At 39.7% G+C, this 26,018-nt stretch overlaps 1 protein-coding gene across 5 annotated transcripts in view, besides 6 other annotated features; it reads right to left on the bottom strand.

Annotated features, from left to right (window-relative positions):
* Positions 1-26,018, bottom strand: part of ATXN7 (ataxin 7) — a 140,319-nt gene that overhangs the window by 16,507 nt on the left and 97,794 nt on the right. For 4 of the 5 annotated variants that reach the window (NM_001377405.1, NM_000333.4, NM_001177387.1 and 1 more), the window contains 3 exons: positions 6,789-7,041; positions 4,511-4,770; positions 3,935-4,017 (listed from right to left, as the gene is read on the bottom strand). In NM_001377405.1, the coding sequence (NP_001364334.1) occupies positions 3,935-4,017; positions 4,511-4,770; positions 6,789-7,041 (596 nt within the window). Of the gene's footprint in view, positions 1-3,934; positions 4,018-4,510; positions 4,771-6,788; positions 7,042-18,980; positions 19,163-26,018 lie in introns of those variants that run through there. The other variant, NM_001128149.3, reaches the window with a different exon arrangement.
* Positions 13,346-13,846: an enhancer, noted in NCBI's record as "H3K4me1 hESC enhancer chr3:63958786-63959286 (GRCh37/hg19 assembly coordinates)". NCBI's record gives its function as "activates a minimal SCP1, AML or CMV promoter by ChIP-STARR-seq in naive H9 embryonic stem cells {active_cell/tissue: H9 hESC(naive)}" and the evidence as "EXISTENCE:reporter gene assay evidence [ECO:0000049][PMID:30033119]".
* Positions 15,828-16,479: an enhancer, noted in NCBI's record as "OCT4-NANOG hESC enhancer chr3:63956153-63956804 (GRCh37/hg19 assembly coordinates)". NCBI's record gives its function as "activates a minimal SCP1, AML or CMV promoter by ChIP-STARR-seq in naive H9 embryonic stem cells {active_cell/tissue: H9 hESC(naive)}" and the evidence as "EXISTENCE:reporter gene assay evidence [ECO:0000049][PMID:30033119]".
* Positions 17,834-17,893: an enhancer, noted in NCBI's record as "active region_20035". NCBI's record gives its function as "activates an Ori minimal core promoter by ATAC-STARR-seq in GM12878 lymphoblastoid cells {active_cell/tissue: GM12878}" and the evidence as "EXISTENCE:reporter gene assay evidence [ECO:0000049][PMID:35858748]".
* Positions 17,904-17,983: an enhancer, noted in NCBI's record as "active region_20034". NCBI's record gives its function as "activates an Ori minimal core promoter by ATAC-STARR-seq in GM12878 lymphoblastoid cells {active_cell/tissue: GM12878}" and the evidence as "EXISTENCE:reporter gene assay evidence [ECO:0000049][PMID:35858748]".
* Positions 18,424-18,643: an enhancer, noted in NCBI's record as "active region_20033". NCBI's record gives its function as "activates an Ori minimal core promoter by ATAC-STARR-seq in GM12878 lymphoblastoid cells {active_cell/tissue: GM12878}" and the evidence as "EXISTENCE:reporter gene assay evidence [ECO:0000049][PMID:35858748]".
* Positions 21,912-22,416: an enhancer, noted in NCBI's record as "NANOG hESC enhancer chr3:63950216-63950720 (GRCh37/hg19 assembly coordinates)". NCBI's record gives its function as "activates a minimal SCP1, AML or CMV promoter by ChIP-STARR-seq in naive H9 embryonic stem cells {active_cell/tissue: H9 hESC(naive)}" and the evidence as "EXISTENCE:reporter gene assay evidence [ECO:0000049][PMID:30033119]".

Raw genomic sequence — 26,018 nt, 5'->3', positions numbered from 1 at the left:
CCATAAACATAAATGAATTCACCCACGTTTCCTTCTTTTATATTACAAAATATTGTAAATGTGTGTGTGCATGCCCCTACACATAATACAAATGTATTGGCATAGTTGGTACAACTTTAGGGACTTAAAAAGGGAATTATGCTTCTAACTACCATTTTCGGTTGAATAACACAACCCACCTCCTTACGAGACACACTGCAAACTATGTCTACCTAAATAATCTAACCTGGCACAGACAAATGTGTTTAGCTTTTTACATTTTTACTTGATTTTCTTTAATATGGAAAATATCCCTAAGAAAGTAACCTAAAGACCAGGAACTTTGTTTTGTTTGTGTTGTACCAGCATCTAGAAGAGTACCTGACGCTCAAATGCTTCAAACAAAAAGTTTATAAAAATAATGGCCCTCCAACGTGTGTTGAAAGAACGAATGAACATATAATATTACTGGTCCACCTGCCTGTCTCTCCAAGCAGATGTATAAACCTCTCCTCAGCTTGAATGTTCCCGGTGCCTAGCACAGTACAGCCAAATGAAGAAAGCAGGCAGATACATTTTCCCAGCTCAGTTTGAAGCCTAAGTAGGGTTTCCACTGAGCTGTGAAGAACATTCCAAACAGAAATCCGATAGGGGTTGCCCAAGGCTCACAGGATAAAGACTGACTGCATAACTAGGCTCCGGAACCCTGCACACTCTAAGACCCTTGCTTACTGCTCCCTGCTCCTTTGGTCCCGCGTACCTCTTCTTCCCTCTTTCTGTTCAGCCACCTGGCTGGCTTTAAGGTTCTAAGGAATTTGCTCTGCCCCTGTCACAGAGCCTTCACACATATTGTTTCCTCCACCTCTCCTACCTCTCCCATCCCTCTCAAGCCCAGATAAATCATCACATTGATTTCAGCCCAATGTTCCTATGGCAAGAAAGCCTTCCCTGGAAAAACTTCATTTTTGCAGGCTTTCATAATGTAGTCCTCTCATCTTTTTATAACTCATCAGTGGTAATTTTACAGTTATTTTGGTGATTAATACTCTCCATCTCTTTCATTAGACTGTAAGCACCACAAGCATAGGGAACACGTGGTTATTGTGCTAAACCCTTTATTCCCTGCGACCTAGAAAGAGTGAGGCCTGTGCTCACAGATGTACGTAATAAAAAGTTCTACAATGAGTGAATGGACAAAGGCTACAGGAGTCACAAATCTCTCCGCGTGGAAGGCACAGAGGACTTTCGACGGGATATTAGACAGATGAAGAAGTGAGGAGGGGCAGTGAGGATGGGAGACAGACAACAGAGAATGAGTAATGGGAATGAACAGCAGCAAATCCCCTGACGGTGAAGAGAACAGATAACGTTCTAAGTCTAAGACAGAAGAGACCTGGCAGCAACTTGGGAAACACTCAGGGTAGGGACATGCAGGCATGTTTAGCCCTACCAAGCTTAATAGATTCAGACCAACGTGAAGGCAAGGAAAAGGAAAAGAACTGACAAAACAATGAAAAAAAGTCAAGTCATCCTGTAAAAGGGCAGGCCTGGTGGATGCTGCATTTTCTGCCAGTTCTATGCTGATCTCATGACAAGCTGGGTCTCAAGACTTATTAATGCAATGACAGGCTTAGCCCAATGCCACGGAGAGTAATGACACCCTTAAAGAAGGACGACAAGGGGAGCATATATCATTTGAAAAGGAAGATGTGAGAAAAATGCAGACCCATTCAAAGTCACTCCACCTAGCAATAAAGGCACAGGAAGAATGCCAGTCAAGCTCCTTGAAGATTTTGAGTTGAAAAAAAACTTTTGGCAACCTCACTTCTGGGTAGTTATCCAAAATAACTGAAATCAGAATCTCAAAGAGCTATTAGAACTCCTATGTTCACTGAAGTATTATTTATAATAGACAAGATGTAGAAACAATATAAATGTCTGTCAACAGGTGACTGGATGAAGACAACATAGTATATACATACACTGGAATACTATTCAGCCCTTAAAAAGAAGGAAATTCTGCAATATGCTACAACAAGTATGAGGTAAGCTTGAAGACATTATACTAAGATAAATAACCCAGTCACATAATGACTAAACACCGCATGATTCCACTTATATGAGATCTATAATCAAACTCACAGAATCAACAACTAGAGTGGTGGCTGCCAGCGGCTGAAGGGAGAGCGAAATAAGGAGTTACTAATCAATGAGCATAAAGTTTCAGTTATAGCAAGATGAACAAGTTCTAGACATCTGCTGTATAATATTCTTTCACAGTCAACAATACTGTCTTGCACACTTAAAGGTGTGGTTCCCTGCCACGCTTTGTAAATGACTGAAAAAGAACATCTTGGGTTTGAAAAAAGCAAACCTCATTGCCCACAGGTACTGTATTACTGAGAAATCCATGTTACTGAGAGTCAGGTAGGCAGGAAGAGCGCAGAAGGAGAATGGCAAGTTGTGATCATGATGTGGACAGGGCTGAGGCATGCTTTCACACATTCTCTTAGGGACAGCTGAAACTGACATAATTCTACAGAACTCAGGTGGCTATCTTCATACACCACCACCACTACACCACTGTGTGTCCAATTAGTACCCTATACAAAAAAAAAGCAGTTTGTTTTATGAGAGTTTTTAACCTAGAAATCCAAGGATGGGCTTGGGGTGGGGGTGTCCATTAATCCAAGATAGAAAAATTCAGAATGTGTATGTGTATGCACTATTTTATTCTCGGAAGATGGACCGTGGTTTTTTTTTTTTAAAAATGAGATATTTAAAGGTACTCTTGACCAACCCTTTTCCCCAAAAAGGTTCTGAACCACTGTTGTAAGACAAAATCTATATACTAAAATTAAATTAGAAGCTTAAAGTAAGAACCACTTAAAAATTTCCCACTCCAGAAGACTGTAACATGCCTCCACTGGCTGGGGCATGGGACAGGGCCTGAAGTCCTTTATTCAAATACACTTTAATAAAATTTAAAGTAAAACACTAACAATTTTATTAATTTTTAGAAGAAAATGCTAACTTTTATCATTTTTACTTCCTCCCTCTAAGGTTTTAAAATTACATACTTCAAAGCAGTGACTCTGAATGCTTCTTGAACCTATCTGGGGGGTAGCTGGGGACACCCTCCAGAGAAATGCACATCAACATACAAGCTCATTTATGTAGAGGTGTTCACTGATGACCTGAAGCCACCCCACATCAATAACCCACACTTTTCAGCAAATATACCTTATTAGCATACTGGCATTTTAAAAGAAGGAAGACCCCAGAGCAAAAAGGAAGACCATTACATTTTCTTAGCTTGTATATAAATTATTAATATATTTTATCTAGTTTTTTTTTTCTCTTAAAAGAGATGGGTCTCGTAATGTTCTCCAGGCTGGACTCAAACTCCTAGGCTCAAGCAATCCTTCTGCCTCAGCCTCCCCACTAGCTGGGACTTACAGGCATGCCTGGCTTGCAGTATTTTTTTTTTAAACTAGAAAACAGGGATATTTCAAAATCACAGATTTTTTAAAAAGTGGTTCTTTAAAATTTAAGACCATGGGTGACACATTTTTTAAATGTTCATACACACGCAAGGGAAATTTCTGCACTTGCTTTAAGCCAGTATAATTTAAAGCACAGTCAAGGGTAGCCTATATGGAAATATTAAAAGTTTTTAAAAATAACAGACTGGGAGAGAACACTATTCCTGTGGATACAACACTGCTCATTAGAAACAAAACCTCTGTCAAGATTATAATTTATAACAACGCACTTCACATTTTGTCAATCTGAGGCTTTCTTCAACAGAACCAAGTTATTCCTTCACCTACACAATTCACAACAATCCACAGAGCATCTTCTCTGGGTTAGAGAGACTGTGGGAGTAGTGTGGTACATCCCAGTCACCCATGTTTATCAGGATGGTCGACTTGACTTTCAGGAGTCCACCTACCTTGCATGTCAAAGACCGGGTGCAGGGCTTCTTGGTGTCGAGATCAATAACCCCACAGTGGATGTCAGGATCAAACTCTCTTTCTGTCAAAAGAACACAGGCATTACATGTGGCCTGACAAACTCTCCTCCATGTATTTTTTAAGCAAGAAAATAGAAGAAATCAACAGTTAGATAAATTATAGCTGGAATAAAAGCCACATTATCAATAAAATAAAAAATATACAACGTGTGAGTGCTGCAACAAAGCAGCAACATCACTAAGACAGGGGGTGACTACTGCCATCAGATGGTAGAAAAGATATTGTTTAAGTCTGTATTACTTCCTTCAGAAATACACCACTAGAAAGCTACTTTTACATGACACACACACACACACACACACACACACACACACACTCATGCTCTTTAAAACCCAAGAGTGAAAAGAACAAACATATTAACTAAGGAACTTCCTCCTAAAGCTGAAGTTGACCAGTTTTAAAAATAGGAATTCTAGATTGCAGTTGATTTGCTCCCCACGAATGCCCATTTAATATATAGAGAAGCATTATGAAGAAAGAAAATTTGAAGTTACCTGATAATCTCTTATTTAAAAATTTCCTATTATTGGAATTGTCTTCAGGTTTCTTTTCCAGAGTGGGCGGTGCAGGAAGCCCTTTGCCATTCAGAATCTGTCCAGGTGAAGGCAAGGTTGGCTTTGGTATTGAGGGGCAGTTAAGGCCAGGCTTGACTAAGGAACTCACAGTAGCAGGACAGGTTGGCCCCACCGCAGATTTCAGTAGTGTGCCATCCATTTTCGGATGAATCTTTTCCACTTTCACAGAGGGTGTCATGCTGTCACAGGAGGAAGTGAGAAAACCAGTGCCTGAGTGCCTCAGCAGCCCCCAGGTGAATGGTGAGCCAGAGGGATGAGGATAGAGCCTGGGCCTACCCAAGCGCTGCACAGGGCCAGCCTCTTGGAAGGCTCCTTATGAGTTTTGTTAGTAAGGTTCATACTGATTAAGTCTATAAGCCCTTCTGGTGAGGCAAAACCCTCAGTGGACCATCAAATTTGCCTGGTCTTTCATCATTTCAAAAAATTTTACACATGAGGCAATGGGAAACTCAGACCTGATACCCAATGCAATGCAATTTCTATAAGAAGCAAAACATGAGAAGGTCTAAAAGAAACAAAGACTATTTGCAGAACCCTTGGAGAATATCTTTTGAGGACTGCCATTTGTACGAAAGGATTCATCAAAACAAAGTAAACTTCTGAGTGAGCAAATATTTCCAATAAATGTCACTAAAGACTTATGAGAACTCAAACATGCTAAATAACATATCTCCAAGAAGAGGTTCTTTGCTTCTGTCAATAAGGGAGACTAGTGTTTAATAAATATATGTTGTGTCACTAAAGTGGTAATTCTCCAGTCCTTGAAAAATGTTTCTATGACAGGAGCTTAGGGAATACCTGTGCCATTAACAAAGATATGAATCTTGGAATCTTACTGACACTATCATTTTGCTTGGTAAAACTGAAAATACTGGTAGGAAGCTAACAACTGGCCTGGTTCCTATCTAAAGGCCTAGCTCTAAGTAAAGAAGATTTGAATCAATGAGGTTGTATAAACTTTGTTCAGTGGAGTCAGTGCTCTAACAGCTGTTAAGCTGGCCAGTGACTTACACACTACACTGGCACCGTTTGTGGCTTTCAGACTGCTCCCGGAACAAAAACCAAGCTTGCTGTACTGTACTTCTGACAGAAGAACAGGGGCTGGGGGCTTAGCAACCAGGACAAACAGCCCCAAACAACTGTACCTGGAATAGCCTGACAGCAGTAGAGAGACTGCAAGATGTCACATCCTCTCCCAGCTGGCAAGGTCCTTATGCAGCAGCAGGTGCTGGACCCTACCCTGAGATTAACCAGGTTACCGGATCTTGGACCTACGATGTGTGCTATACCCTCCAAAAGCAGGCTGGCCCAAGAAAAGCCATCCGTCACCAGGCTGAGGGATGCCATGACAAGGCGAAGCATGTTCCTATTGGAGTGCGTGGCTGCTCCCTCACGTGACCTCAAGAAACCTGTCAATCTACTGAGTGACCATGGAAACTTGCCAAAGCCATGCCTGGCAGGTGTGAACTTCCTTCAGTCTTCCCTCATCACTGCTGTGATGTGAACCTAAGGCTGAAGGGAGGAAGCACTGCTTCCCTATTTGCTCCGTAGACCCCCAAAAATTCTACAGCAGCATCTGGGAATCTCTGCATCTTTTTATCATTACTATTATCCACAGCAGCAGTAGCAGGAGTGCCAGTATCCATTTGTTAACCGTCCCCTATGGCCAGACACTATGCCAGGTGCTAGACATATATTAACTAAAATATTCTCAATAACCCAGCATAGTGGCTGTTATTCTTAGACAGAAACAGTGCCTTGCCCAAACCCCTACAGCTAAGAAGTGACAGAAATGGGACACAAATCCAGGCCTATGTGACTTGAGGCCTTTTTGGACAAAACTCCCCCACCTCACGAAGCTTCCTTCTCCTCATCTGGAAAACGAGGATAGTAACAGTACCTATTCCATAGGGTTGTTGTGATAAGTGACATAGTACACACATAGAGTTAGGTTTCAGTAGCTAGCACACAAGAATGGATCAATAAATGTTAGTAACCTTATTATCACTGCTATTACTACTCTGAAAAGTTTCCTATGACATGACAGGGAAACATCAAGAAACAATACAACATACATTTGAATTCTTCCCCAAGTAGACTCTCTTTTATATTACTCACAGGCACTCTCACATGCCACTAGTGTACACAGTTTCATTTCCAGCAGGTAAGCTTTAAAAACCCTCTTGGCCATACTCACATTCTACCATGGGGAACTCTACTTTGCTGAATGGGATGCATTGGCCTGGTGTTCCCCCTGAGCTGCAGTTTCTCTTTGGGTGATTTCAACAACTTGGAACTTGATGAGGATGCGCTAAGAACACCTCCACTGGAAGAACGGTTGCTTCCACTTGCACTGCCTCCTTTGCTTTTGGACAGAGAAGGGAAGAAGGAAAATACTGAAGTGGGAGGAACGGCCAAAGGCGGCTTGCTGGATGAGCTATGTCTTCTTTCTGAAAACGAAAGCAAAGAAAAAAAGACATCATGTTTTAGGCGAATCTCAAATGTAATTCTGGAAGAATTCCCTGAAATCAATATATTCAGGTTAAAACACGTGTCGTTAAGTGAAGGTATGTTAAACTCAGCAGACTTCAGAAATGGCTCATCTAGGCCCCACAGACTTACTTAGCATTCTAGGAACGGGTCCTTCTCTTTCTGAAGTATCTCAGCATAAAGAGTTTTATCACATACACCCATCAGGAAATTAGACAACCATCGTAAACATGAGAATATTGCCTTTTGGGTTTTGCGTGCTAAAAATGAACCTCATTGGCTCCAACTTGCATTAAGAGAGAGGAAAATTATTCATTCATCTGCAGAGCTCTGCTAAATGACACTGCAAGCAATTCTTTCTTCCTTTCTAACACCGCACCTCTCTGATTTTCAAAATAGCAAAATCTTAAGAAACAAGTTGTACCTTCTTTTTTTTCCCTGTCACTACCCACCAGCAGATGACACCAAATAAGAATGTTTCTAGGGTTATCTTATCGTTCCCTAAGAATCTGTGCTGAAATTTTCCAGTGAATCATTTCACTTCCCACCCCCCCTTTTTTAATAATCTCACTTGACTACAGATGGCATAGCTCCGGTTCACACCGCTAAGATGCCAAAGGCGCAAGACAAAAATACCACAAATAGCTACGCCTGTTTTTTAAACCAGGAAGTAATTCATGGTTAAGTACAGACTACAAAGGTTTAGCTGAAAATAAATCTATCCACTGGAGAATCAGGTTTTCTTAGAGTAAGGTAATCCATACTAATATAAATCAAGAGCTGTTGAAGAATGTTACCATCAGAAACAAGTAAATCATTTGGTAACTTTATCCGCTTGAGTACCTTAGTGGCTGCCTTTAATTAATTAATTTAAAATTACACATTTGCTTAACTCTAAGTTTTAAAATGCATGTGATCCAACACTGCCTTATCACAATACAGGAGCTATATAAGTATTTAAAACATTAAGCACATGATGATCAATGACCACAAGTAAGACTTCAATGGTTTATTTCCAAAGATCTTCTTATAGCAGTCCTGAGCTTCTTGGTAAAACTGTGGTGACTTATTCCTGGAAGGGCATTACTTCAATGATGGCTTATAAAGTACTTAACTGTGTGTTCCACATCAGGACAAAATTATTATCCTAGCTATCTACAGACAAAATTCAAATTTCTATTCTCCAACTCAACTACACAAAGGCTACAATCAAGTTAGGAAGGTTAAATTGATAGTGATTTATAAGTGCCTTTTGCTTTTTGTTCACCCCAAAATGAAAGCTGTGTATAAGGAATAAAAAACTAAAATAAATTCAGTTCGGCAGTTTTCCAAATTTGGCATCTGAAGATGTTTTTAAATTTAGTTTTTCTCTCTTTTATGATCCCAAACACTCTGAACATACTTTTAAGCATCAGCACTTGTCAGCCAGGATTGTAAACATGTGTTTGCAGTTTTGTCACCTGCCTTAGACGATACAGCTTCTGTGGGCCATGTCTCCATTGTCTTTCTCTGTAAGGCATGGGACAGAGGTCTTCAATTAACTTCTGCATGACTAGTAAAGCTTTTCTTGTGAAAAGGAGTGATTTTGGAAGGCCCTAGACCAGTGGCTGTCAACCTTGGCTACCCACTGGAATAACGTAAGGAGCTTTAAAAACACTGATGCATAGGTCCCTCCCTCAGAGACTGAGTTAATTCGTTTGGGGTGTGGACTAGGCATCCAGATTTTTGACAAGTTTCCCTGTCTGATTCTACTGTGCAGCCACGGTTGAGACACTACAGTAGACCAGGCTAATGCCTCAAGAACCATTAACCACAGCTGAGTAAGTTATCATGTGCATGGCACTGAGAATACTGCCTGCTACAAGGCACTAAAGGGTTTGTCAAATGAAGCTCACCACTACTACTTGTCTTGAATTAGTGTTTTCCAAATTTTCATCAACTGCAAACTATTTTCATCGTTCTTACCAAAGCTACATAAAATACTATTTTTTTAAAACTCAACATTTTAATTTACTTTATCAATTCTATCATCTCCTCCTCCTTACTCTAATACTAGCCAGTCTCTCATGGGGACATCATTGGTATTTCAGACAGGACAATTCTTCATACAGGATTTCAGGATGGTTAGCATTCCTACTCTCCTACTGCTTCTTCACCAGTAGTGCCCGTCTGCCAAAGACAACCTGAAACCACCCCCTAATCCATTTCCAGATGGGCCCCAGAGTGAAGCAGGGCACCTCTACCCTCAGCTGAGATAGATTTTTTTCCAAAACAATAGTATCTGTGAAACAGTAAGTTCAATAAGCTTATTATATAAACTGAACATTAAAATATTCATCCGTGTTTATCTACAAAAATCACCTTGTGTACCCCCTGAAACAGTGCACTAAAGGAACAGCATGTCTGTGATATGAAGAAGACAGAGAAAACCCTCAACTAGAACTCTGACTTTTAAGAAGTACACTCTAGGTATCAGAATTCTCAAGCAGGTGTCTCAGAGCAAATGTGTGATGTATTTTCTTTGAAGATCAAATGATTAGATAAAATTCTCAATCGAATTAAATACCCTCAGTTCTGCTATGAAGCTTGTTTTGAGAATGCAAATGCATTCCAAAGCCACCGATATACTAAGAAACAATTTGAACATACTGAAATTTTGCATTCGCTTTTTCATGATTTTTGTCTGTAAGAAATACCAGGTGAACACAGAAAACTATACCTGGCTGAAATGAGCCACGTAGGAAAACACAAAATGCACAACCCCTCAAACTTCCACCATCTACCTCAGTTCACCACCATGGGTGTTATTAACCACACCCAAACACAGCTGATGCTACAGTTTTTCATCCAATTTCAGATAACCTCCTTCCATGACTTCACAGTCAAGCTGCAACCCTTCCCACGCCTTCCACAAGCAAATGCCAGGTCTTTTCAAGGTAACTGCCATGTTTATTCTAGTATTTATGTATTTTTTTACCATTTAACATTTGTAAGACTGTGCTACCCTTTTCATTAGGTTCCTATGTTTTTCTGTGTGTGTCACTGATGAGGTCTTTGAGTGTTGTGCCATAACCCTGTTTTCCCAATAAGCCTCATGTGGTTTTTGTTGCGTAATTTTGCATTGTGCAGTAATTTTTTAGGAATGCATGTTGTGCTATAGCAGAACTGACTGTAACTTTAAGCTTGTCCTTTCAATTTTCCATTCCCATCACTGTCCATCCTCCCCGTTTTCTTTGGTTAAAATCTTCTTTTCTTGCCTATTAACTCTTAATATGGAATTCCACTAGAAAAATCAAGGTTCAAAGCTTCTTAAGTTAAAAGTCTGCTGATGTATCGATAATATCCCAAAAAAGTCTATTTTCTACTTCAATAACAATAAAAACTATTTAAAAACTAAGAATGACAATCTATCATGTGAATTTTTCATTCATTAAAACTTGAAACAGATTGTGTGTGTGTAGTGTGTGTAAGTAACTGAGATTCTGGCTGAAAAGTGCCAGCTCAAATTCTTGTCATGCTACTGAATTATCACGGACTGGTAACTTACTCTGTGAAAAGGACAGCATCTGGCTTTCCCCCCACAAGAAAGCAAGAAGGAAAAACCAAATTTATTGTAGTTGAGTTGGACTCCCCTTATCCTTTCACTGAGCTCTTATTTTTCACAGGATTTTAAACTGGGCATCTAGCTCTAAAAAAGTGTTTGCTCCCAGATCAGAAGAGAAGTGGGCAAATTATAGGTGGGGTTAGGGACCCTATATTAAGTGGACAAAGTGGTGGCCAGATGCTGAGCACAACTGCAATGTGGTCTGCTGAGGAGTCCAAGTTGAGTTTTCAAAGCGCTCCTCTCTCCAGGATCTGGCACCAGCCCAGAGAAAGCACACTCTGTCCCTGAATGAGGAGGGCATGATGAATGGCTCCAGTAAGGGAGAGACAGGCCGACTGACAGACAAGTACAGACACAAGAAAAGAGCAGAGACAAAGAAAGACAAACATGCCTAAGTGTGTATGTGTGTGTTGTGCTGGGGAGAAGAGAGGGAGACAGAGCTTCATGGGGCTCTTTCCCCTTGTGGCTTCAGTACGTCACATGGCAAGGACAGGATATTAGTAGTGGTGTAGGAGGGTGGACAGCTCTCTATAGGTCTTCCAAAATAGAATGCAACCAATACTAAGCTTATAATTCTGAATTCACGCTGAGATTTTTTTAAAGTTATAAGTATTAACATCCAGGTACACACCAAAAAGGAGTTCAAAGCAAATAATTAGATCTTTTTATATCATAAATATTGCTTTGAAAACAACTAAAAATAATTTACAGTGAGCAACTGTCAAAATTAGGGCACAAATCTAAAAAGCAGTCAAAACAAAATGTAACTCCAAATGCTAACATTCATACTCGAAAATAATCTAGAAGGATATATGTCAAGCTTTTTAAAAAGTGGTTATTCCCAGGATTATGGCTCTATTTTTTAAAACATTTGTGTATTGTTTTTCTATAATGAATACAGTTTACTTGGTTATCAAATACATACTTCTAAAGAAGAAAAATTTGGTGTTCTGGTTTCAATTTTACACATGCCAAAATAAAGCAAGGCATACTATCATTCCTGAGCATAGTATCAATTTGTCCCATTCTCAACGGGTATCATGCAAGTGGCTAACTACTAAGAAACCCCCACAGAACCTGAATTAAATATCTTCAGTTCTGCTATAAAGCTTGTTTTGAGAATGAAAATGCATTCCAAAGCCACCGATATACTAAGAAACAATTCGAACATGTTGAAATTTTGCATTTACTTTTTCATGATTTTTGTCTGTAAGAAATACTAGGTGAACACAGAAAACTGTAACTGGCTGAAATGAGCCATGTGGGAAGATTCAAAATGTACACCCTCAAACTTCTACCATCTACCTCAGTTCACCACCACGTGTATTATTAACCACACCCAAACACATCTGATGCTACAATTTTTCATTCAATTTCAGATAACCTCCTTCCACCATCTCATGGTAACTCACAAGCTGCAACCCTTCCCATACCCTTTATTCAGGGCTCTTTTCTTATAACTTATTAAACATTTTACTAATCTTTTATAATCCAAACAACTGGCTGATGAGAAATCTCACCTTCAAGAACAACAACATCAACAACAGCTGCTACTGTGTACTGTGTAGAAACCACATGCCAGGCACCATGCTACGGGATTTACATGGATTATCTCATTCAATCCTGACCATCTTTCTAACAAAGTAGATACTATTATTAACCTCACTTTCCAGATGAGGAAGCCAAGGCTTTTAAAGGACTCAAGTCAGTTGTCCAACATCACATGGTTACTTAAGAGGCAAAGATGGGTGCAATCCCAGGCAGGCTGACTCCAGCACCTGGGTGAAAGCACAAGGCAACTTGCCTGCTCTGAAATGGCATTATTAGCAAGTCATAATACATGATGGAGGGGCAGGGATAAAGGTGAGGGCTGGGGCATAAATCAGTAAGAAGCCCATCTTCCCTAAGTGCTGGGCAAAATCAGGTTGTTAGTGTACAAGTCTGCATAGGCTGAACATTTGTCATCGATGACAGTTTTTTGGTATATTCAGGGTGGGATCCAGAATATGTTTAAGGGAAATCCAGATTGTTTTCGATTTCATCTTTCCATTTTGGAAGTTGCTAAGCTAAAAATCAGCTATGGGTGTGTCAGCCAGTGTAGCAATTCCCTGCTTGGAGGGTCTTAAAGCATCCAAGATGGTTTTGATAGAGGCAGACAAATGCCTAGAAAGACAGGGGAGGGTCTCCGACGAAACCCCACCTCCAAGTCGAAGACAGTTTAAAGCCTGAAAACCAAGCTACAGGTTAAATCCTAGGACTGGATTAAGAATTTGTCTTCCCATTTGGGATGCTTTCCTCTAACTGGTCCCCACCCTTCACCTATTTTTATATATACTTACCCTTTCCAAATTGGTTTTTCTACACTGTCATGCCCACCTTTGAGTTGTGCCTTCCCTTTAAACTTTTTTGCATACTCACAAACCAATCAGCAGGCACTCCCCATTCTGAGTCCATAAAGGGCCCCAGAACCAGCCACATGGGGGAATTATTCCCCTCTCCCTGAATCCTCTCTCTGCTTGAAAGCCGTTTTCATTGCTCAATAAAATTCTTCTCCACTCTTCTCACCCTCCAATGTTCCACGTATCCTCATTCTTCTTGGGTGCAATTCAAGAGCTCAGGAACTGCCAAACGCAGGTACAACCTTAACACAGGCAAGCTGCGGCACACCCAGCGTGGCCGAGGGAGGCCCAAGCAGGGCGTATCACTGGCCGGGCATCCCTGGTTTGCAGAGTGACCAAGAAGAAAAATCCTGCATCAGTTTGAAGAGTGAACTGTGACAGAATGTGCCAATTGGGGCTGTCTTTATAGCTTGGCTAAAAAGAATCAACTTACACAGTTTCCAGGTGAGGATGCTCTACAAAAGACCATCAGCAAACACCTGCTCAATAGGGTAAGGCTGGACCCACCAACCAATACACAACACAATATGCATGCTTCGAGTCACTCTCAGGTTGTTTATGGTCACCTTCCCAGCAGAGGCTCAGGACTGCTGGGCACAGTCTTGATATGTATGGGTTGAGTAATCAGCCTGAATAGAATCCAAATCAAATAAAAACACTTTTTAAAAGATTACCTGAAAAGGGCAAGAACTTTAGAGTCAGGGATATGTGGGTTCATATCCTTGCTCTGCCAGTTACTAATTGGGTGACCCTGGGCAACCAGCTCACTCCATCCTCGTTGGCAGCGTCTTCAGTTGCCAAGCCTACTTTGCAGGGCTGCTGTGGATTAAACGATCAAGAGTTGCAAAGCCTGCAGCACAGAGCCTACTGTGGACCAAGTACTGGGAACACATCAGCACATAAGACAGAGGCCCCCTGTTAGCTTGGCTGATACCAGCTACAGGCTTGTTTATTTAGACAGAAAAGTACTCACAAATAACACCTCCTGACTTCTAAAGGAGGTAGAAATCACTTAAGAACAAATCAAACCCTCTTTACTGTAAGTTATCTTCTCCAGTGTGATAAGGATTTAGTATACATATTTTTACGTGCCATTTCAGGAAGATATCAACCTCTTCTAAGATAGGAGCTCAGGGGAGCAACTTTAAGAATTCATTTAAAAATCAGCAAATTCACACCAAACAAAAAGAACATTCATTCAAGCTAAAGTTATTTTACAAATAAAAGGCTGGCTCATTTTCCTCACAGAACTCAGAAGACACTCAGGAAGAACTGCAAGTAGAATAAAATGAAGATCAAGTCTCAAATTCAGTTTACAGATCCAAAGGTGGAAATTTTGGGCAGATTTTCTAAGTAAAACCCACATATTTTTCTTTAAATGAAACTCACTCACACTTTCAGATAGACTCAGTTAAGGTTAAACAGAGTGTGCACTCTGCATGGATGGGCCTTATGAGAAATACCAATGCATGCTTCAAGGAATGCATGACTTCATGCCTTCTGACAGCTCCATTCCACAAACATCCCATAATGACGCCCATTTAAAGCAAGGACTTTCAATAATGAAGGTTATACATGGCTATAAAATGTAAAACATAGGTAAACATGCACACAGTCTTTGGCCAGTCACAGTAAGTAACAACGCATGTATCAAAAGCTCAGTTTAAAAACTTCAGGTCATTCATTAAGCTGTCCCTTCACAAAATTATTTATTGTTTATTTTTATGTCCAGGTTGAAAAATAACTGCAGCTTGCTATTATACAGCTCCCAATTAATCCAAACTGTCATAATCCATTTCCAGGCCACCAAACACAACTCGTGAGGTGTCAATTGGCATCATGTGTCTTTCACAAGGATTATAACTCCTTAAGAAAACATCCAAGAGCAGGACCTGAGGCAAACTAGAAATAAAGACTGCATAAAACAAAAACAAAAACAAAAACAAAAAAAACTCAGCACTTTTTTCTTACACATCTACTTTGCTCCAGACTAGTGTTTTCCCTAAACTTTTGTTATTCACAACTAAACCATATTTTGGATCCTTTTCCAAATCTGCACAATATCTAGACCATTATTTACTTAATATATTTTTTAAAATTCAGTGGCTGACTAGGGACTAATTTAGCATTATCCTAAGCAATAATATCTCTGAAAGAATGACTTTGTATTTGATGTAGGAGTTTTTTATATATATATGTATATATTTTTTCTCACGAATATTAAAAAATATTTGGCATACCATTGAAAATCACACCATGGACTACACATGAACATCGAGCATTTAATATTTCCTCACTACTTTCATTGTTGTCAACTTTTCCCTCTAAATTTTCTTATTCTTCTTAAAAGCACTCACATATGGCCTGACAAGCAAACATGGTCCTACTCCATCCACTCTTTGTAGTCCCAGGTCCTTTTTATTCCTAAATCTGCTTTATCTTTGATCCAATTTCTTTATGTTCCCCAGGCACTTGATGAAACTATTCCAGAGAGAGCTGAGTGTAGTCTAATTGCTTAAAAGGAAGCAAGTCGGTGGGACTGTCCCTGGAACATTCAAATCTCAAGTTGGGGAATTCAGAACTGACCTCTGACATGCAGTGCCTCAAAGGACAATTAGCCAAAATTGGGGCTGGGAGGCAACTCCAGAGCATGCTTAGGTGGGTTACAAATGGCACTGGAAAACACTGAGAAAGAAAAAGTCCTTGCCACAAAGCACTCGGCATCATTTCCACTAGAGAGATTTAACTGAAAAGGATGATTTCAACACTGGCTGCCCTAACAAATTAGTCTCCAACTGCTACCTCTGCCAAAGGCATCTCTCCTCCCCCTAATGCGGAGGTGCTTTTAAATTAAAACCTAACGGGAAAGTGCAGAAAAGAGAGTCATTTATAGCACTTGGGCCACTTGAAACAACTTTTCACCAAAGGTCCTAATCAAATTATCAAGCTCTTGAAGTCAGCGCTTTATGACATAAATAAAGGCCCCACTAAAGTATTCGGGTCTCCTGGCATTTCCACGTCTCTGGGCAGAGCGCGCACTGCAGCATACCCATTCACACTGGCTGCATGAAAGAGAACAGATCACAAAGGGCAGATTACAAGGGAGAACGACTCCACTCCAGTGGGGGAAGGGACAGGCGTGAATGGATTGTAAATAATGTTGCTAAGAAAGGAGCAGAAATATGGCAACCTCAAATAATCCTCTTGCCAGGAATTCTTCCCAAAAGGACTGTTCTTTCTAAACTCTGCTTTCAAGTATGTGAGAAATATGAAAAAGTTATTGAATATCTGGGGGATACTCCTTCCCTGCCTAACTTGTTGCTTTTTGCAAACATTTGTAAAAGGGCTTTAAAAAAAATCCAAATATTTTATTGAAAAATACGGAATGATAGGGAAAAAGAGGAGGTACAGAATGTCACAACAGTTGATCACCTCAGCTATGAGTATAACACCCTTTTTTTTTGTCTTTCAAAAAACAGCTTGTCTTACATAAAACTGAGTGGTCTGAGTGATCAGTTCAGTTCCTGAAGGACGCCCTTTTTATGCTCCTGCAACCCTGTTCAAGGTGCAGACTTTTGACCAGAGGATTATCATCCTCTCTAACACATGCATACACACAACACTTAGGGAAAGTACATTTTGGGAAAAGGATGCTGTTGCTTTTGAGTGTTAACACAACCATCCAACTGTTTATGCCACCTCTGTGATCTTTATGTCACTGTTTCTGACTACAGATACCACACAATGAATGACATGCTGGCTGACACTTCTACTTTGCTAACAGCCATAAGGACTTCTCTCTGCTATCCTCAGAGAGCACGGTGTTACCCAAATGATGCTGACAGAGTACAGCAATAAATCACCCTGGCCGATTTATTTGACCTCACTATCTGAGTGATGCACATCATTTTGTAAAATTTCACTCCCCTTTCTCCCTCTTACACCATCATTCACTTGAACTGTTTCTATACCTCAGGTATACAGGTGAGAAGAAAAGAGAGAGCCAAAACGAAAATCCACCAGTCTCTAGCTACTTTTGATTCAATCCTCTATGTGTTAGGGAAAAGAACACTTTAGAATTTTAGCAATTTACCTTTATAAGGATAGCCTTCCAATTTGTTATACTATCTGTAGTTCAAGCATCAAACATACTCAGTCTTTACACAAGTATCTCTATAGTCTCAATTTGGTCTAGGTCACTGTTTTCCCAAATGAAACATATGGGCTATTACCAAAATGCTAAAAGACAATTAAAAAAACAAAACAAAACTATGCCGTTAACCACTCCAATCCAATTTTTACAAAAACATAAAAAGAGAGAGAATAAAAGGAACCTGGTAAAACTCAATTTAGAGGAGCTGCCTTGTTTTTGTTTGGTTGTTTCTGTTTTGTCTTTTAAAATAGAAATTTCTGTGTAGGAATCCCAACAGGGAGCATCATCTTCCCACAGTCCAACAAACAAGAGCAACTCTGCAAGGTACAACGAAATGACAAAACTATCTGCTGAAAAGTGCTACACTGAGCCAGTCACAATCCTTATTGCCATTTTCCACTGGTTTTATATCCTTTTTATATCACCTTATTCTGGGTGGGGGAGGGCAGAATACCTGAAGACCAGAACATGGAAATAAGAAAAACCTCACATTTTGAACACAGCCTTACAGATTCCTTCATTATACATTCTTTTAATAAGGAATGAGTGATTAATTACCCAGGAATGCCAATGTTTTCAATGAGTCTGCAACACACATTTATTTTTTCTGAAGAGAGAAACAGTATCTGCTCCACCTGCATGCCAGGGCTGTCAACTAATAAAACATCAGAAGTGACATGCAAAAACGAAAGCAGAAACAGTGAACCTAAAACTGTCTGACAAGAGTTTTCAGAAAAATCAATTATAGAGAATCAACAGCAATTTGATTAAAGGTTTAAGATCTTTTCATATTTAAAGTCCTACAACTGGGGAGCTCAATTTCAACCTCAATTAAAACCTTCCGGTCAAGCTCATTATTACACAAGGCATGAAATCTGAATCCCCTGAAAACTGAAGAACTCAATTGACACCTCACTTCCCGCATGAAGACAGAAGGTCTGAGACAGGTAAGGTAATATTGAGACCAGCCTCCACACATCCACCCAAGAATCAGCTTAGCTCTGCTGGCTACCTTAATAACACAACTAAAAAAAATCATCTTTTCTGGCAGTCAGTCCATAATTAAATTTTTATACACTCAATTTAAGTTACTGAATGACTTCCCAGGGTTACTGTTTGTATTTTGAAGTTGTTCTTCCTCTTGACGCAGTGTTCTGTTTGAAACTTTGCTGTGGAATTGAAGTATCTGACAAAACAGCTTTCAAACACATTCTACAGGAAACACTGCAAACTGCCTGTCATGAAACCTCACTTACCACAAGTAAGATAAAAAACAAACAGTTAAAGCGTGTTACAACGTTCCTCCATTTTTAGAGAGAGATGTAACCAATACTCTCTCTGTTTTGAGATATGGGAACTGTTTGGTGCAAACCTCAGCATTTTGTTGGAGTTAATAACAAACTCGGCTCCCGTCTGCATCTGAACTTTGGCCAGATCACTCAAATGACATTTCAGAATGGCTTCTGTGGACAGCTTGCAGCAGCTAATCCCTGTGGCTGCGATTACCCACGCTGATCCCCTAGCTCTGCAGGCTCCCTCCCTCCACTACTTGAGCAGCAGAACCCTCCTGGCCTGCTGGCAAGGCAAGACAAATGCCAGGAGGAAAAAGGCCTGCATAAACTCTTCCCAAATCTGCTTGGTTCTATGTAAGGTTAGCAAAGACCTACCCCACCGTCCACAGGCTCATCCAGAGCTGGGCCCTGAGCCAAGCCCAGACTCTGAAAACTGCCTCAGAAAACTTACCCAGTGGAGCTTTCAGCTCCTGCGCAGAAGGGCTGCTTTGGAGAGGCGTCTTGCTACCTTCCATTCACAGAATTTGGTTGTGCTTCATTGCACACTTGCTACTGCAGGCTTGCATCATGATTTGGGTCTGCCCACCAACTCCAAATATGCTCCATGTTTGGGCTTATGTAACATTTGCTACTACTGTAAAAAGCACTTGAATTACAAAGGTCCTGGCAGATCAACAGAAAACAGGGGGTGGAGTCTAATTTCATCTAATATGGTCATACAAGGCGTCCTGGCTGGTGTAAATTAATCTTTCTATTGGAAAGGCAACTTGTCAAAACTGGGGAAGATGGAATTTATAAGTTTAACCTGCTAAAATGCAAATTACTTATATTTTGTGAATTTTTTTTCTGAATACCTTTAAACTGACAAAGCTACTACCAGGTATATTACAAAACTTACATGATTTATTTAAAAACCTACATTTTAAGTCTCGGTAGACCTAAAGGTCTTAAAGTTAAACATTTCTATAAAATACCTGCAGCATTTTTCCAGGTTTTATTTCCCCTATACTATCTACAGTTGCTAAGCTTTTCAAAAAAAGTTTATTATTCCTAAGCATACTTTTCCTTCCTAAATCTAGTAACAAAATATCTGAACCCACTTTCTGTGCATATTTGTAAAATATGTATAATTTCATATCCACATTTGTCCAGTTTGTTGTTCAATCACTAGAGGACTGACTAAAGCTTTCATACTTTTAAATCCAAGAATTTCTCTCACTGAGTGCCCCCTTGAAAACAGTGTCTTCCTGGCCTGTTTCCCTATCATCCCTATCACACTCCCTCTCTCTGGCCAATCAACAAATCTACTGTCAAATGACACAGAATGGGGTGTAATGGCTCACACCTGTAATCCCAACTACCTGGGAGGGTGAGGCAAGAGTCCAGGAGTTTGAGGCTGCAGTAAGCTATGACTGTGCCACCGCACTCCAGCCCAGGTGACAGAGTTCTAATAAAAACAAAACAACAACAAAAAATCCCCACAAGTGACATGGAAAAAACTGCCAAGTGATCTGAGTTTTATGATAATAATGACTTAGATACCTGATAGTTCAAAATGAACTCTTTTAAATGTCAAAAGAAGCAGCAAAAGATTCTTCTACAGAATCCTATCACCCCATACAGAATATTTGGCAAAAGTCATGAATTACATATGTGGAAATGATTTAGCCTGAAAGGTGCGGGGAAGAGTTCTGAGAGAGGCATGAAAACGGCTTCTATTAGACCAAATTCTAAATTGACTCTAAAACAGAAGAACAGTAGCTGCACTGCCCTATTTTCACAAGGATTCAGATCCCAACCCATGTCAACAATACTAAGACCCAGGGGGTTTTCTGAAACCCACTTTTTTTCCCCCAGATTCCTTACAGTAACGTTCATACAATCCAAAACTATGGAAGCCCTTAGAAGACACTAGAAGAACGCAAGGGAAGAGCCATCAGCAAGCCTTAGAAGCACAGGATGAGGATACATCTCCCAAATCTTTTTAAAAGCTCATAAGCGAAAATAAGAATTTTAAGTTAATTCACTGAAGCTTTTCTTAAGCTAGAAAAAAAAAATTCCATGGCTGTAAAACCTGATTGCCACAGGTCTTAGTATTGTTCACCCTACTTCACCTGCCCTCCCTGCAGGGGTAGCCAAGGAATCTCCTTAATGCCATCAATAGCAGAAAAGAACAGGGTAGGAGGATCTTTCTGGAGCTAAATCTCACTTCCCTATCACTGTACTTGTATGACAGAACACCAGAGTCCTTGCTGGCCTTCCTAGCACAAATGCTTGCCTTTCTAATATTCCCTTTCGTACACAGTGATTGTACGAAATACAGTGGGGAAAAATATCGTTATGAGAGTCAGCCAATCCAAGACAGTTCTAAGAATCAAGTCGTTCTGCAACCCTGTAAAAAACCAGGGTGAATTTTAGCAAATGTTCTTAAATGCTACAAACAAACGTCTATATTTAAGTTCACAAATAAACAAGAGAAAAACGAATTTTAACTTATTTTTAAGACCTACATCAGAAAAGGGATGAATGGTCGTGTATGCCAGGAAAATATTAATTTTGTACACATACACAGAAATTGAGAACAAAGCTCAGATTAAAATTTTAAACACTCACATGTGCCCCCTTAATGCCCTGAATAAAATGTTTAAGCAAATACTGCTTTGTTCTGCTTGTAAAGCATTATCACAATTTTCTTCAAACCGTTTCTCGATATCCTATCCAAATAAAGTTTATTTTGATATTAAATATCCCAATGATGGCTCAGACGTTAATTGTCTAGGTCTGGGGACATGGTCATATTTCTTTTTCCCTAAGAAAAAAATTAAGACTACAGACTAAAAAAATACTACAGACTAAAATAACATCTTAATAGAATAACATCCGTGCCTCACTGACCGAAAATTATATGTATCAGCTGTGGTTTGGATGGTGTACACATGTCAATTTTACTCTAGTGCACAAAGGGAGTTCTGAACTGTGCATTAGCCTATTCGCAGCAAACAGGCAAACTTGCAGGAGGCTAGGAGGAACACTCAAGGTTTGGGTTCAGGGGGCAGCCAGCCTGCAGTCTGAGCACTTCTAGTTGTGCAGCCGTGGGCAAGAGACTCAGGAGAGCTAAGGACTGATACTGCCTCCTCCCACAAGCCTGGGGTGAGGAGTAAATTTGAGATAATGCAGGTAATGCAACGCCCAGCACTTGTTAAACGTTCAGCAAATGTTAGCTATTATGATTACAACCAAGGAGAAACTGGATGGATGATAGAGGAGTTAAACAGAAACAGAAAAACTGAGGTTTCTATTATAGAAATTAGTCAAGTCCCCTACAAATCTTGGGATTTCCTAAACTGAATCCTTGAGAAGCCAGCAGAGGTGTCATTCAGTGCTCTGGAGGGCAATAAACAAGCTGTTGGCAGTTATGAAATACTGTGTTCCTATCATTGGTGAAAGCCAGTTCTCCATTTTACAGGAATACAAGTCTCCACTAACTCCACTTCACTGTCTCAGCAGGCCGGGTGAGTTATAATTGGCCTTAATTGGCACTTACAGGAGCTTTAACATTCCTTACCTGCTGCCAAGGAGCACTTGAAAGGGGAAAAAAGTATTTTCAAACTTGGAAATACCAAGCAATTCATTCGGCTGTGGGCCTGGAAGCCTGCTATCCAGAATCAGATTAGCTTCACCTAGAAATGTTGCTATGTTATTATCCAGAGCTCATTAGGTACTCACACTGGATTAGGAGAGGTGGGAGATGAAATTTAAATGGGGATAATTCACCTTGGGGGCTAAAACCATGCAGCAGCCTTCCTCCAGCTGATCTTTTGGTCGATGGCTCTCCAGGGCTCAGCCACACTTCATGTGTGTAAGGCAGGCAAATAAAATATATCTTCATGGCCTGATTTACACAGGCTTTGAGTTAACCACAGCGTGACCTCAGCCCAGTCATTATTTGAAACACACAATGAACACCTTTATAAGGTGACCAGTCATACCAACTGCAAAGAGGATAGGGAGATCAGAAACAAAACTGGCCATAGTTTTTCCTTGGCCTTGCAATTAATCACACTCAAAATTATGATCCTCTAGGAGGCCTCACATTTTGCACAGGGGAATCCTAGCATAAGAGAATGAGATTTCTTCCTTAAATTCCATACAGAATGAATAGAAACTTCCCATAGACGCCCGAGAAACTGCCTATAATTGTTTAAATATTTTTTAAAATAATCACTCGTTTTGAAAGATCTCTTTGTCTCATATTATTAAGTATTACTAGACTTGTGGTTGTTTGAGGAATTTATTTCAAATTAAAATTAATCATACGTGTGTGTGTGTGTGTGTGTGTGTGTGTGTGTGTGTTTATGTGTCTAAGGAACATTGTAAGAGGCTTTAGAAAATTAAATGGAAGCTTAGAAAAATAAATACAACACCTACTCCTTTGGAGATAACTCTCATAGTGGCTGGTAGAGATATAAAGCATTACAGCCTTTTTGGAAAGCAATCCAGCAGCAGCTATTAACACTGCAAATAACTAGTCTTTTGTGACCCAGGAATCCCTTCCTGAGACTCTATCCCACAGAAACTAAACCACCAGTAATTAAGTATGTATGTACCAGAGTGGGTACTGCTGTTTGGTTCACACAGACAAAAAGCAAGAAACAAAATGAATGTCCATAGAGGGCCTGGCAGAGGAAGCTACAGCACAGCCACACTTTAGAGCAGTATGCAACCATTAAAAAGAGGGGATTAGTGTTATCCAGGGCTGTGAATGGATTTACATGAGGTATTGTTGAGTAGAAAAGGAGCAGAAGTGTGCATAATAGGATCCACTTTTTTGTAAAACTATCACCAAAAGCCCCTACTAATAAAATACGTGATTCTATGTGCCTGGATAGAGTTAGAAGCATGAGAAAAATATACAAGGATGCATATTAAGTTACATACTAAGAATGCAGCATGTATGATTTATAGCGTAGCATGGACTGCTACAGTTAGAGAAGGCAGGTAAGTTGAAAGAGCCAATGAAATAAGAAAAAGGCTGCACTGAAAATAGTTGAGATGATTACATTTGTGTATTTATATAAAAATACGTTATAGGTGTATATATTTCATATATTCATATGCCAATCAAAAAATCTATAAAGAAACAGGTCTAAAAAATTTGTGTTACAAAAATGCACTGTGAAGGTAGCTAAGAAAAATTAAATACAAAATTCTGGCCGAGTGTGGTGGTTCACACCTGTAATCCCAGCACTTCAGGAGGCAGAGGCAGGTGGATTGCTTCAGCCCAGGAGTTTGAGACCAGCCTGGGCAACATGGTGAAACCCTGCCTCTACAAAAAATACAAAAATTAGCTAGGTGTGGTGGCGTGTGCCTGTAGTCCCAGGTACTGGAAGGGCTGAGGTGGAAGGATTGCTTGAGCCCGGGAGGTGGGGGTTACAGTGAGCCAAGATCACGCCACTGCACTCTAGCCTGGGCAAGAGAGTGAGAATCTGTCTTGAAGAAGAAAAAAAAAAAAAAAAAAGAAATACAAAATTCTGGTATTACATCAAACAAGTGTATCTTGATTATTGTCACTCTCTTAATTTGTTTGGCTAAGCAGACTGAGACTCAAGTAGCACAACAGACCACAGTTGAATCACCCAGAAAAAGGCCTATTAGCCACTTTGGCAAAATAACATCTTAACTCTCTAAAGCTCACTACAAATCTTCAGTATTAGAAGTTGTAGGCCAGGCATGGTGGTTCACGCCTATAATCCCAGCACTTTGGGAGGCTGAGGCAGGCAGATGACTTGAGGTCAGGAGTTCAAGACCAGCCTGGCCAACATGGCGAAATTCTGTCTCTACTAAAAATGCACAAATTAGCTGGGTGTGGTGGTGCATGCCTGTAGTCCCAGTTACTCGGGAGGCTGAGGCACGAGAATCACTTGAACCTGGGAGATGGAGGCTGCAGTGAGCTGAGATTGCACCACTGTACTCCATCCTGAGCGAGACAGTGGGACTCTGTCTCAAAAAAACAAAACAGAAGTTCTAACGACCTTTTTAATAAATATATCAAGCATAAGAGGCAACGAAACAAATTTCATTCCAAAGTTTATTTGTGACCTGAAGAGAATACAAACCAAGAACTCTATATTGTGTGATCAGGGGCTATTTGTATTTTATTTTAAATGGAAATAATTATCTGTTCTTCTTTTTTAACATTCAAATGCACAAGATGAAAAGGTATAAAATTACTTTGAAGTAAACCTCAAGAGTGGGATTTCTACATACAAAATGTGGGATGAGGGAAATAGCTAAATTTAGCTATTGGGCCCCTCCCAAACCAGTCTGTTTTATGGACTTGGACTAGTACATACATCAGAGGAATTATTCCAGTCAGGTAGTAGGTACCACAGCATTAAGAAGTGATAAAAACTCCCTCTTCTGGTCATATGTAAGATCACAGCTTAGTGGGGTTGAAATCGCAGGTGTGTTTATCTTAGTCATCGTACAAATTAGTCTTGTGAAATGACTGTCAGGAAAAGTACTTTTTAGAAAATATAAATAAAATATGGATTTATATCCCGAAATATCTCCATTAAAGCTGAAGCATGGCAATCCTATAATAGCTAATGATTTCTACATGTAGCAGGCAAGTCAAGAGTGACACTGGTGAATATCAACAATTCATATATATATTAAATAATAATTTCTTACTTAATTTTTATTAAGCCTTTTTAAAAAAAATTTCCAACTGTTTTTTCCTCTACTTTATTAAGGTATAAATGACAAATAAAAGTTCTATATATTTACAGTACAGTGTAATGTTTTGATCCATATACACATTATAAACAATTTATATATATATAAAGATAGATATTGCCAGAAACTCACATTTTCACTGCCTTATTATTGTGGCAACCCAAATCAGAACTGCTGAAGTAGTTCATCAAATCACAGTAGTACAAACCTGGAGGGCACTGTGACCAGGTTCCATGCGGAGAATCAATATGCTAAAATACTGACAGACATTCCCAAAGAAGGACGGTCCTTAGAGCACTGTATACAGTAATGCAACACTGAAGATCTAAGTGTCCATCAACAGGAGTCAGGTTAAGTGAAAATACATTAATAAAGTGGAATAACAGGCAGTCCTTAAAAAGATTATAGCAGAACAATATGTATTAACATGAAAAAATATTTTAGATAGATTATTAAGTTAAAAATGTAAATTCACACTGAATCTACTTTTTTTTATGTGAGGGGAAAAAATACATTGGTAAATATTACTTTGTCCAGGTTCTAGGAACCCTCCAAGAGTACATGTCAAACTGTACCCCTGAAAAGTAAGATGAAGGAGCTTTCTTCAGTCTGATTGCATACTTATCCTCTGGTTGTTTAATTTCTTTTACAATGTATTTTATTTTAATAATTAAAAACAAATTGAAAGGCAGTGGTTTTTGTTAGTCAATAAATTTTCACAATTACCCAATGAATACATGAGAAGTCCCAG

This window comes from Homo sapiens, chromosome 3 (genome assembly GCF_000001405.40).
Source record: "Homo sapiens chromosome 3, GRCh38.p14 Primary Assembly".
Classification (NCBI taxonomy): domain Eukaryota; kingdom Metazoa; phylum Chordata; class Mammalia; order Primates; family Hominidae; genus Homo; species Homo sapiens.
This window is presented reverse-complemented; position numbering and strand designations above follow the sequence as displayed.